We start from the raw sequence: 12,038 nt of genomic DNA on the forward strand, positions 1-12,038 counted from the left end.
TGCAGTGAGCTGAGATCGTGCCACTGCCATCCAGCCTGGGTGACAGAGTGAGACTCTGTCTCAAAAAAAAAAAAAAAAAAAGAAAGGTGTGGGGGTGTTGATGACGTGGAGATCACCAAGTTAGATGGGTGGCCAGAGAGACCTCATTAAGAAGCACTGAGTTTCCCTGCACAAGAGAGGGGGTTGTGGAAGGACAGCCCTGGATGGAGTCAGGAGACCGAGGGATGTCACTCTGCTTGGCTGGGTGGCTTTGGTCAGACACTGCCCTCTGGGCCTCAGTTTCTTTTTCTTTTCTTTTCTTTCTTTCTTTAAAATTTTTTGTTTGTTTGTTTGTTTGTTGAGAGAGGATCTCACTCTGTCACCCAGGCTGGAGTGCAGGGGCATGATCACAGCTCACTGCAGCCTCAACCTCCTGGGCTCAAGTGATCCTCCCACCTCAGCCTCCCGAGTAGCTGAGAGTACAGGCATGTGCCAACATAACCAGCTAATTTTTGTATTAGACAGGGTTTAGCCATGTTGCCAGCCTGGGCTCATACTCCTGGGCTCAAGCAATCTGCCCACCTCAGCCTCTCAAAGTGCTGGGATTACAGGTGTGAGCCACTTCGCTCAGCCAGTTTCTTTTTCTTTTTTTTGTGCAGACAAGGTCTCACTGTGTTGCCCAGACTTGTCTTGAACTCCTGGCTTCAAGCCATCCTGCTGCCTTGGCTTCCAGAATAGCTGGGACCACAGGTACTCACCACCACTCCAGGCTAATTTTGTACTTTTTGTAGTGATGAGGTCTCACTCTGTTGCCTAGTTAGTCCTGGCTTCAAATGATCCTCCTGCCTCAGCCTCCTGTAGACACCTCTTGACTCCCAACCTCTGCTCTTTCTGTCCCCTCTACCCAAGTGGCTCTTTTCCTCCTACCGATTTGCTCAGCTCTCTCCTAACTGTCCTGGGCACAGCTCAAGCCTCACCTCCTCCGGATGCCTTCCCAGGCAGTTCTCTTCCCTCTGACACGTTTGTGGCACGATCACAGCACTTTCCTGTGAACGCTGTGAATGGCTCAGGGTGCGGGGTAGGCACACAATAAATGTAGTTGTTATTTCATTGCCAAAAGCTCTGACCTTGGAGCCCAGGTTCTGGGCTGGACCTGCAGGGCCACAGGTCCTCCCAGTCTGGGGTTGGGGAGCAGGTGGGGAGCAGGTGGGCCCCCCCATGCTGTGATGAGCTGAATCCTGCTGCACTCCTCGGCTGTCCCTGCCGACAGCTGGAGCTACAGACACCAGGCTGAAGCCCAGAGCTATTTCTGCCAAGGGTGACTTGGAACTTCCTCCCGGATCTCTTAAAAATAGAGGGGTTATCGTGGCCGTCAGGCCCCTTCCTCCACATGGGGAACTCGAACATGATTTCTGGGGAAGGCCTAAGCCCCAGGCCTCTCTCAGCCCAGCAAGGACTTATCTCTGAGCTCAGCTGGGCAGCAGGAAGGGAGCGAAGCGACCACCGTGGGCAGCTCTTCCTGCCCCAGGAGCCCCTTTTGGGAGCAGCAAGGGATGTGGCCACTGACTCAGGGGTGTCAATCACCCATCTTCCCCGGAGCTGCGGTTGCCCACCGGACTCTGAGGGGAATCAGAAGTCAGTCGCGTAGAGAGCATCCTGGGGAAGCCTCAGGCACCGTCCGGCCTGGCCTTTCTGCTCCAAGCCCTCCCCCTGCGCCCAGCACGACCCCATCTCTGTACACTACCATGAGATCACTGGTGGACAGCTGTCTCTACTGTGTGGCCAGCCCCAGCAGAGGCTGAGGGTCGGGCACCTGGAGGTCAGGCTGGGGTCTACCACTCCCAGCAGCTGGGTCCTCTCTGCAACAGAGGGCATTCCTGGGGGCCAGCCCAGCTCCTCTGGGGATTTCTTCCCACTTTGTAGACCCCAGACTTAGTGCCAATAGAAGACCACTTCTCGCAGGGTACAAAGTCTGTTCAACAAGTATTTGCTGGGCGTCCACTCTGGGCAGGGCCTTGGCAAGACCCAGGAGAGGAGACGCTGTGGGGGGTCTGGAGGCCCAAGGGGGTTACTAAGCCCAGCCCTGGGGTTAAGGGAAGTCTAATGAGGGAAGTCGACATTTGCAAGACAAAAAGAATTTGATCTGTTGGAAGTGCAGAGGGCTGCCCCAAGCCAAGAAAACAGCGGGGCACAAAGCCCTGGGGGAGACAAGAGGCCTCCCCTGCCCCCAGCTCTTGCCCAACCTGTTAGGGAGCAGTGCTCTAGCCAGCGCCTTCTCAGGGCTTCAGGAGGCCAGTGTGCAAAGCAAGGGTGACCTAGTGGGGTCCTGGGGGCTATCCTGTTGGGGCTTGGCAGCCAGCCACATGCATCTTTGGTCATTGCCACGGTCACGGTCCCTGCCTTCCCATCCCTGCTGGCTCGTGGGATGTCTACGGGGCTTGCCTGGCACCCCCGGCCCTCCTCTGCACTCCTCAGGAAGGAAGGTTCAGGATCCCTGAGCTCAGCCTCCCCAAGGCAGCTCTTTAGAAGCCTACAATCTTAGCTGGAAACCGTCACGGTTAAGGGTTTCCTCCCGGTGGCTCCCCAGCGCCCCTCAGCCCGGCCTGAGACTTATCACTGCCCCCCAGCTGGTGCCCCCCTCCTCCTCCAACCACCTCACCCTGGGTGATTCAGCAAATCTTCCCTCCATGAGGGGAAAAACAAGAGTGAAAAATCACAATGTCAGATTACAAAGCCCTAACTGTAGGGCAGGCCCCTGGCAGGGAGATAAGGGTCTCATTCCCCACCCTCAAAGCCTCTCTGGCAGATAAACCTCCTAGAGCAGCATGGGCTGCACTGCTGCAGGTGTGGGGTGGGGAGGCCTGGCCTCACGGAAGTCTGGTCAGGGGACACAGGGCCCTGCCAGGAGCTGAGGGCCCACAGCTCGGCCACTGTGCAGAGCTGGCCAAAGAGGAAGTGCCACGGCCAGCATTGATGTTGCCATCCCAACAACTGCCTTGGAGGGAAAAAGAGAAGGGCAGGGCCTTCTGAGAAAGTTCAATGACAGGATGCCCCACAAATGCCCTTCACCCTGGGGTGTCCCTCTGCCAGCTCAGCCTGCAAACCATGATCCCTTGTACGACTGCAGCCCAGCTGTGTTGCAGAAGTAAAGGTGTCTGCCCCCATGAAGCCAGCCCAGAGGAGGGAGGAGCTGGGATGCCATTCCTGGGAGGGGGGCCTCCTCTGGGGAGGCCTGGGTGGACTTGAAGGCAGCTCAGCCTCATCTGCCCTAGAGACCTTGCCAGGAGAAATCCTGGGTCTCCAAGCCAGGAGATCTGCTAGGCTGGGAGACCTGCCCTGGGAGCCACTTGTCAGCAGGGGACCCTGTGATTGTGGGGATGAGGCTGGGGGTAGGAAGGGGCGGTCACTAGGCTTCCTCTGCTGGTGGAGGACAATGAAATGATGGCTTTGAAGCTGAACTCTGTGCTGGGCCCTGGTGCTCTAAGCAAGTCATTTCTCTACTTTTTAGCCCCGTATGCTGTCTGTAAAGTGAGATAAGAAAACCCACCCGCAGGGCTGTCCTGGGGAGTCCAGGTGCATGCCAAGCAGGAGTGGCACAGGTCCTGGTCTCTGTTTCCCAGGGTTGGGGACCAGCATCTGGCTGGAATGGGGGTGGCTTTGGGATAAGTGCCTGCATAGCTCTTGGTATCCAGGGCCAAGGGTCCAGCTGCCCAGCATTCTAAAGACTCTCCATTGTCTGGGGAAGCTCTCTGAGGTCATTTCCCACAACACCATGGGATGGCTGCGGTGGGCTAGGGAAAGGAGGGTGTGCAGCAGGCACATAAACTTTCTAGAGTAGTGTGGGTTGCACCACTGCAGGCATGAGGTGGGGCGCCCCGGTGTCACAAAAGTCCGATCAGGGGACATATGGTCCTGCCAGGAGCTAAGGGCCCAGAGCTTGGCCACCGTGCAGAGAGCTGGGCGAAGAGGAAGCGCCGCAGCCAGTGGACTTGGTTCCACTCAGCTGCAAAAGGAAGAGAGTTGGTCAAGACGACGTCTGCAGTCCCTTCACTATAAAATTTTGCAAAATACAAACTGCTCAGTGGGTGTGTAGTTGGCCGAAGGTACTCCACCAAAGAGGTACCAAAAGCTGGTGGGCTTCAAAGCAGCATCGTCCCCAGCAGCCAAAAAGTGGGCACCCCAAGTGTCCATCCACAGATGATGGGTAAACAAAACGGGGCCTGTCCATGCTAGGAAATATGACTTGGCCATCAAAGGGAATGGAGCTCTGACACATGCCACACGTGGACCTTGAGGACATCATGCTGAGTGAAACAGGCCAGTCACAAAAGCACAAGCACAGGATGATTCCACTTATATGAGGTCCCTAGAGTAGTCAAATTCATCGAAAGTAGAATGGTGGCTGGCAGGATCTGGGGGAGGGGAGTGGGGAGTTAGTGTCTAATGGGTACAGAGCTTCAGTTTGGGAAAAGTTCTGGTGTTGGCTGGTGGTGATGATTGCACAACAATGTGAATGTACCCAATGCCACTGAACTGTACACTTAGAAATAGTTAAGAAGGTAAAATTTATTAAGTATATTTTAGTAACCCCTCCCCCCGCCCCCGCCAAAAAAAAAAAGCCCATGTGCACAGTGGTCTCTGCTGAATGAAGACTTGAAAACCAGAGCCCAGCCCTAAACAGCTCATGCATAGTCCAGGCAGAGAAACAGAGCAGGTAATGCCCCCTCAACTGATGGCAGACGGGCCAGGGAGCCCTGCTCTGGGCTGGAGCAGGGAGGCACCTTCAGGGTTGTGGGAGATCTGCAGGGAGAGCCACTTCTCCCTAGGGGTGGGTGTCTGAGCAACAGCACCAGAATCCCAGCGACATTCTCTCCTTCCTCCTTCCAGACTGGCTTTGCCTGCCTCTGAGGCTCTGGGAATGCTGTTCCCTCCACTTGGAAGGCAGTTTCCTCACTTCACCAATTCTTTATCTTCGTCATCCCAAACCCAACCCACATGCACCCCACAAGAAAACCTCCCCTTGCCAGTTATAGACTCTCAAATCCCCCAGAAATTCTGCCCTCTGATGTTGATCATAATTGTCATGAAATAGCTATTTGTGTCATTGTGTGACACGTTCTATGAAATTCTCCATTGCTTCCCCAGTACTCATTAAGGAAATGCTTTTTGTCAGATGGACAGATGGATGGTTGGGTGAGTGGATGGATGGATGAATGATGGATGGATGGATGGTTGGATGGATGGATGGAAGCATGGATAGATGGATGGATGGGTGGATGGATGGATGGTGGATGTGTGGATGGATGGATGGATGAACAGATGGGTGGATGGATGGATGGATGGATGGATGGATGGTTGGATGGATGGATGGATGGATGGTGGATGTGTGGATGGATGAATGGATGAACAGATGGGTGGATGGATGGATGGATGGATGCATGGATGGATGGATGGATGGATGGACGGATGGACGGATGGATGGACAGATGGATGGATGGATGGATGGGTGGGTGGATGGATGATAGGTGGATGGATGGATGGATGGATGGATGGTGGTTGGGTGGATGGATGGTGGATGGGTGGATGGATGGACAATGGGTGGATGGATAGGCAAGCAAACTGAAGGGTCTACCCACCCAAAGGGGCCAATGCATGGAGTGCCTAGGCCTGGATAACAGGGTGCAAGTATACGTGTGAATGGGTGCTTTCGAGTCTTTTGCCTAGAACCATGAATTACAGTTCAGGCCCACTGTCAGTCCTACCTGACACTGTGTGGACTGTGGACCTGTCTGAGAACGGCTTCCTGGATCTAGAGGTTTGGCTGAAGGACAGCACTCACCATCTCCTGGGAGGATGAGCTCTCAATCTGATCTGATCTGATTGGCTTGGAGGACCCATCCCAGATGGCACCATCCAACTGTACCTAGCACTTGCTGTGACCTGGGCTGGCACTAGCTGAGCACTTCCCATAGAATAGCAGGAGCTACTTTTCCCTGTTTTACAGACATGGAAACTGAGGCACGCATTTGCCCAAGGTTTGACTGAACTTTAAAGGACCTCTTCCCCAAGGCTTTTTAATCCCAAGGTAAACCCTTCCCAAGGAATCAAGGGGTCAGGGATGGACCTGTGGCCCACTCTCCTCTACAGATCCCCTAAAACAGACAGCAAGTTCCCAGTGTGGTGCTCTGGGCCGGCGTGGAGGGGTCAGGAAGGGATGAGCCTGGAGTAGGGAAGCACTTTGGAGAATGCCAGACCCGGGGCCCTTCCCTCCCTCTCCACCTCCCTCCTCCTGTTCCTTTCCTCCTCTTCCCTCACTCTTCCTCCCCACCTCTTCCCTCCCCTCCTCTCTCTCCCTCCTCTTCTCCCCATCTCCCTTTCCTTCTCCTCCTCCCTATCTCCCTTTCCTTCTCCTCCTCCCTCTCCCCTTTCCCCACTCTTCCTAGCCACAGGTGGGGTTGTGGCCCTGGCTGAAACTCTTGAATGACTTAGTGATTCTTTCCTTCCAGCATCTTGAGTTCTTCCTGGACCTAGGGGTGGGGGGGCACTGCCAGTGGCCAGGGGAGGGGACTGCGGGGCACGCATGGGACTCCCTGGCTCGGTCCTCTGTTCTCTCCTCCATTTATGGGTTCGCTCACTCAGCAGCATTGATTTCATGCCAGGCGCTGGGGAAGCGGGGTCCAAAGAGACACCCCCGACCCTGCTCAGGGATGGGGGCAGTAGGTGTGCTGCACGGAGGGGCCTCTTCAAGTGGGGGCAGAAACCCCTTCCCAGAGGTCACCCAGAACCAAAAGGGGAGCAGGAAGGAAAGGCATGGAGGTCCTGGGGAGGCCCTGGCATCGCAGGGCCAGGAATTTGGGGGTGGGGCAAAGTGGGAGTGGTTAGGAGAAGACAGGGGTGGGAGCAGCGGGACCCACTCCCACAGTCTCTGGTAAAGCTTTGGGTCTCTGCCCCAGAGCAGTGGGATCGACTTGCATTTTCGGGGGAGAAGCATCCCTGGTGTCCTGGTGGCCAGGGAAGTCAGGAGCCCTGCAAGGTGACTGGAGCCCTACAACTCAGGGGGCAGGGGTTGCAAAGACCAGCCAGGCAGCCCCCTCAAGATGGAACCGCTCACGGGTCTAGGGAACCAAGGTGGGCCACCGCTGGAGGGTGGCCTGAGTCCTCTGAGGCCCCTGTGGTCCCAACACAGGCAGGTCTCCTGGGGGGAGAGACAGAAATGGTTGTGGCTCCAATAGGGAACAATGTAGTAATGTCTAACTAAATCACAGAGGCACACACCCTTTGGCCCAACAATACCTTACAGATGCCTAGCCCATGTGTACACACTACAGTGATTCACTACAAGCATTTGTTTTTGGGAAAGGTTGGAAACAACCTAAGTACCCATTAAAGAGGGTTGCGTAAATAAATCATGGTCCAGCCACACAGGGGAATACTGTCCATCTGTTCAAAGAAATGAGGAAGCACTTTCTGAATTGACAGAGAGTAATTTCCATGATATATTGCCAAGTGAAAAAAGGAAGGTAGGAAGGGAATGTATACCAAGGCACCATTGGTGGTCAACGAATTGATAGTTGGCTGTAATAGATGAAGGAGTCATATTATAATCTCTGGGGAAGCCAGTAAAAGCATGTGCAACTATTTATTACAGGGGAAGTTGAATAAGAAAACCCATTTGTGAGTTAGTTGTTTGCTTTTTAAAAAGGGGATGGAGAATATATATATATATATATAATTTTGTTTATAACATTGTAGATTGTCTCCAGAGAGATAAACAAGAAACCGTTGACATTGATCACCTCCAGAGAAAAGGTGATCTCAGTGTCTGGGGGAAAGGAGTGGGAGGGAGACTTTTCACTGAGTGCCTTTTTGTGTCCTTTGAATTTTGAAACACATGCATATAGTTACCCATCCTCTTAATAGAGAAGTGTAAGTGGATGTGGGAGATGCCTTAGAAGGCTGTTCCCAGTGGCGAAGTGGAGGCTGTTCCCAGTGGTGTGAGTTGAACCAGGGTGATGGATGGATGGGTGGAGAAGATGGATTTCTGATGAATTTAAGAGATAGAGTGGACTGATGTGGCAGCAGATGGATGAGGGGCAAGTGGGGAATCCGGGATGACACCCACGTTTCCGGTGCTGCCATTCCTGAGAAAGAGAATCCTGCAGGAGGGAGTCATGGGAAGAGATCTGGGAAGATACAGGGTGAGTTCAGTTTAAGCATCATTTGTTTTTTTTGTCTCCCCCTTTGACTGTCCAGGGTTCTCCCATCTCCCCTGTGAATAAATTTCCCCATGTGGGTGTGGTCTTAGAGAACGGACAGTTCCCTGTGTGGCCCCTGCCTGTTGGAGTAAGTCCTGGGCTTAGATGCTTCCTTGGTCACCCTCTAGCAGGTAGTCCCATAACCTAAGCCCTACCCATTCTTGTCCATTCTAGGAGTTTTGATGTTCAATAGGTGATGCAAAGAACCCACTCACCCTCCAGAGCCCCCCAGGTCCCCTGTCTGCCCCATTGGTGAGGTGACTCACTAAAAAGGAACCTGGGAATTCTTTGGGGGTGATTGAAATATTCTGTGTCATGATTGACATGGTGACTACATTTATATAGTTGTAAAGTCATCAAACTATATACTTAAACTGGGTGTATTTTATTGCATATAAATTATACCTCAATAAAGCTGATTTAAAAGTATAACACATGCTGGGTGTGGTAGCTCACACCTGTAATCTCAGCACTTTGGGAAGCCAAGGTTGTAGGATCACTGGAGGCCAGAAGTTCAAGACCAGCCTGGGCAACATAGTGAGACCCCATCTCTACAAAAAATAAAAAAAAATAAAATGGCCAAGTGTGGTGACACGTACCTGTAGTCTCAGCTACTCGGGAAGCTGAGGTGGGAGGTCGAAGGCTCAAGGCTTGAGACCAGGAGGTCGAGGCTGCAGTGAGTGCTACTGCACTCCAGCCCAGGTGACAGAGCAAGACCTTGTCTCAAAAAAAAAAAAAAAAAGAAAGGAAAAAGTAATAATAAATACACACATACATGTATGACGTGATAACAACAGAACAAAAGGCAAGAGGCAAAGAAGCATTCAAATGTGTCTTTACATTGTTATGGAAGTAGTAGAAGTACTAATTTGTATTTGACTTTACCAGATCAAGGATTCATATTGTAATCCCCAGGGTAACCAGTAAAAGTTTATACAACTATTTATTAGAGGAAAAATAAAATAACAAAATATAATTAGTATTAAAGAAGGAAAAGGAAGGAAAACCATATAGAACAGATAGAACAAATAGAAAACAGTAATGTGAAAGCTTTAAACACAAATATATTAGTATTACATTAAATATAAAAAGATTAAATATTCCAGCTAAAAGACACAGGATCTTAGAAAAGAGAAACAACTACATGCTGCCTATAAGAGATAGACTTAAAATATAAGAATACAGTGGCTGGGTGTGGTGGCTCACACCTGTAATCCCAGCACTTTGGGAGGCCAAGGAGGGTGGATCACCTGAGGTCAGGAGTTTGACACCAGCCTGGCCAACATGGTGAAACCTCATCTCTACTAAAAATACAACCATTAGCCAGGCGTGGTGGCTCGCACCTACAGTTCCAGCTACTTAGGAGGCTGAGGCATGAGAATCACTTGAACCTGGGAGACGGAGGTTGCAGTGAGCTGAGATCACACCACTGCAGTCCAGCAACAGAGTGACACTCGGTCTCAAAAAAAAAAAAAAAAAAAAAGATAAAGAAAGATTGAAAGTGAAAAGATGGAAGATGGAAAAAGATATATACCATGAAAACACTAACCAAAATAAATCTCTTACAGCTATATTAACATCACACAATTTAGACTTTACTAGAGATAAAGAAGAACATTTCATAATGATTAAAAGAAATGATATAACATTTCTAAATTTATATGTGCATAAAAATATGACCTCAAATATATACAAAATAAAACTGACAAAACTAAAAGGAGAAATAGGCAAATTCACAATCACAGTGGGAAATTTTAACACATCTCTCACGGAACAAGCAGACCGAAAAACAAAAGCAAACAAATAAAGCAAATTAAGAAGAATATAGAACATTGTACCTGATGCTTTCAAATGTACACAGAACACTTAACCAGACTGACCATCTGCTGGGCCACAAAGCAAGCCCCAGTAAATTTCAGATAATGCAATCATGCAGAATAAGTTCTCTGATCATGGTGGAACTAAGCTAGAAGTCAACAACAAAAAGGTTATTTTTAAATCCCCAATTTTTGGATACTAAGCAATAGACTTTAAATAACCCATGGGTCCAGTGGCTCATGCCTATAATCCCAGCACTTTGGGAGGCCGAGGTAGGCAGATCATGAGGTCAGGAGTTTGAGATCAGCCTGACCAACACGGTGAAACCCCGTCTCTACTAAAAATACAAAAATTAGCCAGGCGTGGTGGCACGTGCCTGTAATCCCAGCTACTCAGGAGGCTGAGGCAGGAGAATCGCTTGAACCTGGGAGGCAGAGGTCGCAGTGAGCTGAAATCGAGCCATTGCACTCCAGCCTGGGCAACAGAGCGAGACTCCATCTCAAAAAAAAAAAAAAGATGAGCGTGGCAGTGCACACCTGTAGTACCAGCTACTCAAGAGACAGAGGTGGAAAGATTGCTTGAGCGCAAGAGGTTGAGGCTGCAGTGAGCCATGACTGCACCGCTGCACTCCAGCCTGGGTGACAGAGTGAGACCCTGTCTCATTAAAAAAAAAAAAAAAAAATTCCATGATAATAATAATAATAATCAGGCTGGGCATGCCAGTGGCTCACGCCTATAATCGTAGCACTTTGGGAGGCCGAGGCAGGTGAATTGCCTGAGCTCAGGAGTTCAAGAATCAGCCTGGGCAACATGGTGAAACGGTGAAACCCCATCTATACTAAAAATACACAAAAAATTAGCTGAGCATGGTGGCACACACCTGTAGCCCCAGCTACTCGGGAGGCTGAGGCACGAGAATCACTTGAACCCGGGAGATAGAGGTTTCAGTGAGCTGGGATCACACCACTGCACTCCAGCCTGGGCAACAGAGTGTGACTCTATCTCAAAAAAATAAAAAAAATTAAAAAATAGTAATAATAATCAAAAATCACAGTGGATTTCTCTTTATTTTCAACTGAAGAGAAGACAGAGAAAGAGAGAGAATGAGGATATTGAAAATTGCGAAAGACAAATTCTCCACCATAACAATGAAAAAACTAAGAATGAACTAAAACTATAAAGCTTCTAGAAGAAAATGTCGACTATCTTTATGAATTTAGAGATTGGAAAATATTTTTAGTACAACATAAAAGGAACCATAAAGCATAAAAGAAAAAATATATGTTTAAGCTAAACATATTCTTAAGTGTGTTTTAGCCATGTCAAAGCTAACAACTTCTACTCATCAGCAGGCAGCATTAAGAATGTGAACAGCCAAGCCATGTTCTGAGAAAACTTTCCCACTCCATATCACCGACAGAGGACTTAAATCTAGAATATATAAAGAACTCCTAAATTAAAATACAATAAACTTTATTTTACTAAAACTAACTTGATTTAAAAATAGGCAAAAACTGGCCAGACCCAGTGGCTCACGCCTGTAATCCCAGCACTTTGGGAGGCTGAGGCAGGTGGATCACTTGAGGTCAGGAGTTTGAGACCAGCCTGGCCAACATGGTGAAAACCCATCTCTACTAAAAATACAAAAATTAGTCGAGCGTGGTGTTGGGTGCCTGTAATCCTAGCTACTCGGGAGGCTGAGGCAGGAGAATTGCCTGAACTTAGGAGGAGGAGGTTGCAGTGAGCCGAGATCAAGCCATTGCACTCTAGCCTGGGCGACAGAGTGAGACTCAGTCTCACAAAAAAAGCAAAAACCACTTTGGAAGGCTGAGGCAGGAGAATACCTTGAAGCCAGGAGTTTGAGACCAGCCTGGGCAACATGGCAAGACCCTATCTCTAGAAAAAAAATTTGAATTATCTGGGTGTGGTGCTGCATGCCTGTGGTCCCAGCTACTTGAGAGACTGAAGCCAGAGGACTGCTTGAGC

The 12,038-nt window shown here is 50.0% G+C and overlaps 7 annotated features.

The window, feature by feature from the left end:
• Nucleotides 1,569-2,442: an enhancer, noted in NCBI's record as "OCT4-NANOG-H3K4me1 hESC enhancer chr9:135878613-135879486 (GRCh37/hg19 assembly coordinates)". NCBI's record gives its function as "activates a minimal SCP1, AML or CMV promoter by ChIP-STARR-seq in naive H9 embryonic stem cells {active_cell/tissue: H9 hESC(naive)}" and the evidence as "EXISTENCE:reporter gene assay evidence [ECO:0000049][PMID:30033119]".
• Nucleotides 1,569-3,121: a biological region, named in NCBI's record as "GATA motif-containing MPRA enhancer 41". NCBI's record gives its function as "regulatory_interactions: GFI1B".
• Nucleotides 2,170-3,121: a transcriptional cis regulatory region, noted in NCBI's record as "candidate enhancer chr9.3633 targeted for multiplex CRISPR interference". NCBI's record gives its function as "positively regulates GFI1B gene expression with high confidence in K562 cells {active_cell/tissue: K562}" and the evidence as "EXISTENCE:mutant phenotype evidence [ECO:0000015][PMID:30612741]".
• Nucleotides 2,526-2,670: an enhancer, noted in NCBI's record as "145 bp enhancer 41 fragment used in the MPRA reporter construct; PK_construct_4141". NCBI's record gives its function as "activates an SV40 promoter by MPRA in K562 cells {active_cell/tissue: K562}" and the evidence as "EXISTENCE:reporter gene assay evidence [ECO:0000049][PMID:23512712]".
• Nucleotides 2,545-2,839: an enhancer, noted in NCBI's record as "tiled region #4600; K562 Activating DNase matched - State 5:Enh". NCBI's record gives its function as "activates a minimal TATA promoter and a strong SV40 promoter by Sharpr-MPRA in K562 cells {active_cell/tissue: K562}" and the evidence as "EXISTENCE:reporter gene assay evidence [ECO:0000049][PMID:27701403]".
• Nucleotides 2,589-2,606: a transcriptional cis regulatory region, noted in NCBI's record as "GATA motif; MPRA enhancer 41 activity is reduced when this motif is scrambled". NCBI's record gives its function as "necessary for full MPRA enhancer 41 activity in K562 cells {active_cell/tissue: K562}" and the evidence as "EXISTENCE:site-directed mutagenesis evidence [ECO:0005528][PMID:23512712]".
• Nucleotides 3,317-4,188: an enhancer, noted in NCBI's record as "H3K4me1 hESC enhancer chr9:135880361-135881232 (GRCh37/hg19 assembly coordinates)". NCBI's record gives its function as "activates a minimal SCP1, AML or CMV promoter by ChIP-STARR-seq in primed H9 embryonic stem cells {active_cell/tissue: H9 hESC(primed)}" and the evidence as "EXISTENCE:reporter gene assay evidence [ECO:0000049][PMID:30033119]".

The sequence above is a fragment of the Homo sapiens genome, chromosome 9 (assembly GCF_000001405.40).
Source record: "Homo sapiens chromosome 9, GRCh38.p14 Primary Assembly".
NCBI classification, from domain to species: domain Eukaryota; kingdom Metazoa; phylum Chordata; class Mammalia; order Primates; family Hominidae; genus Homo; species Homo sapiens.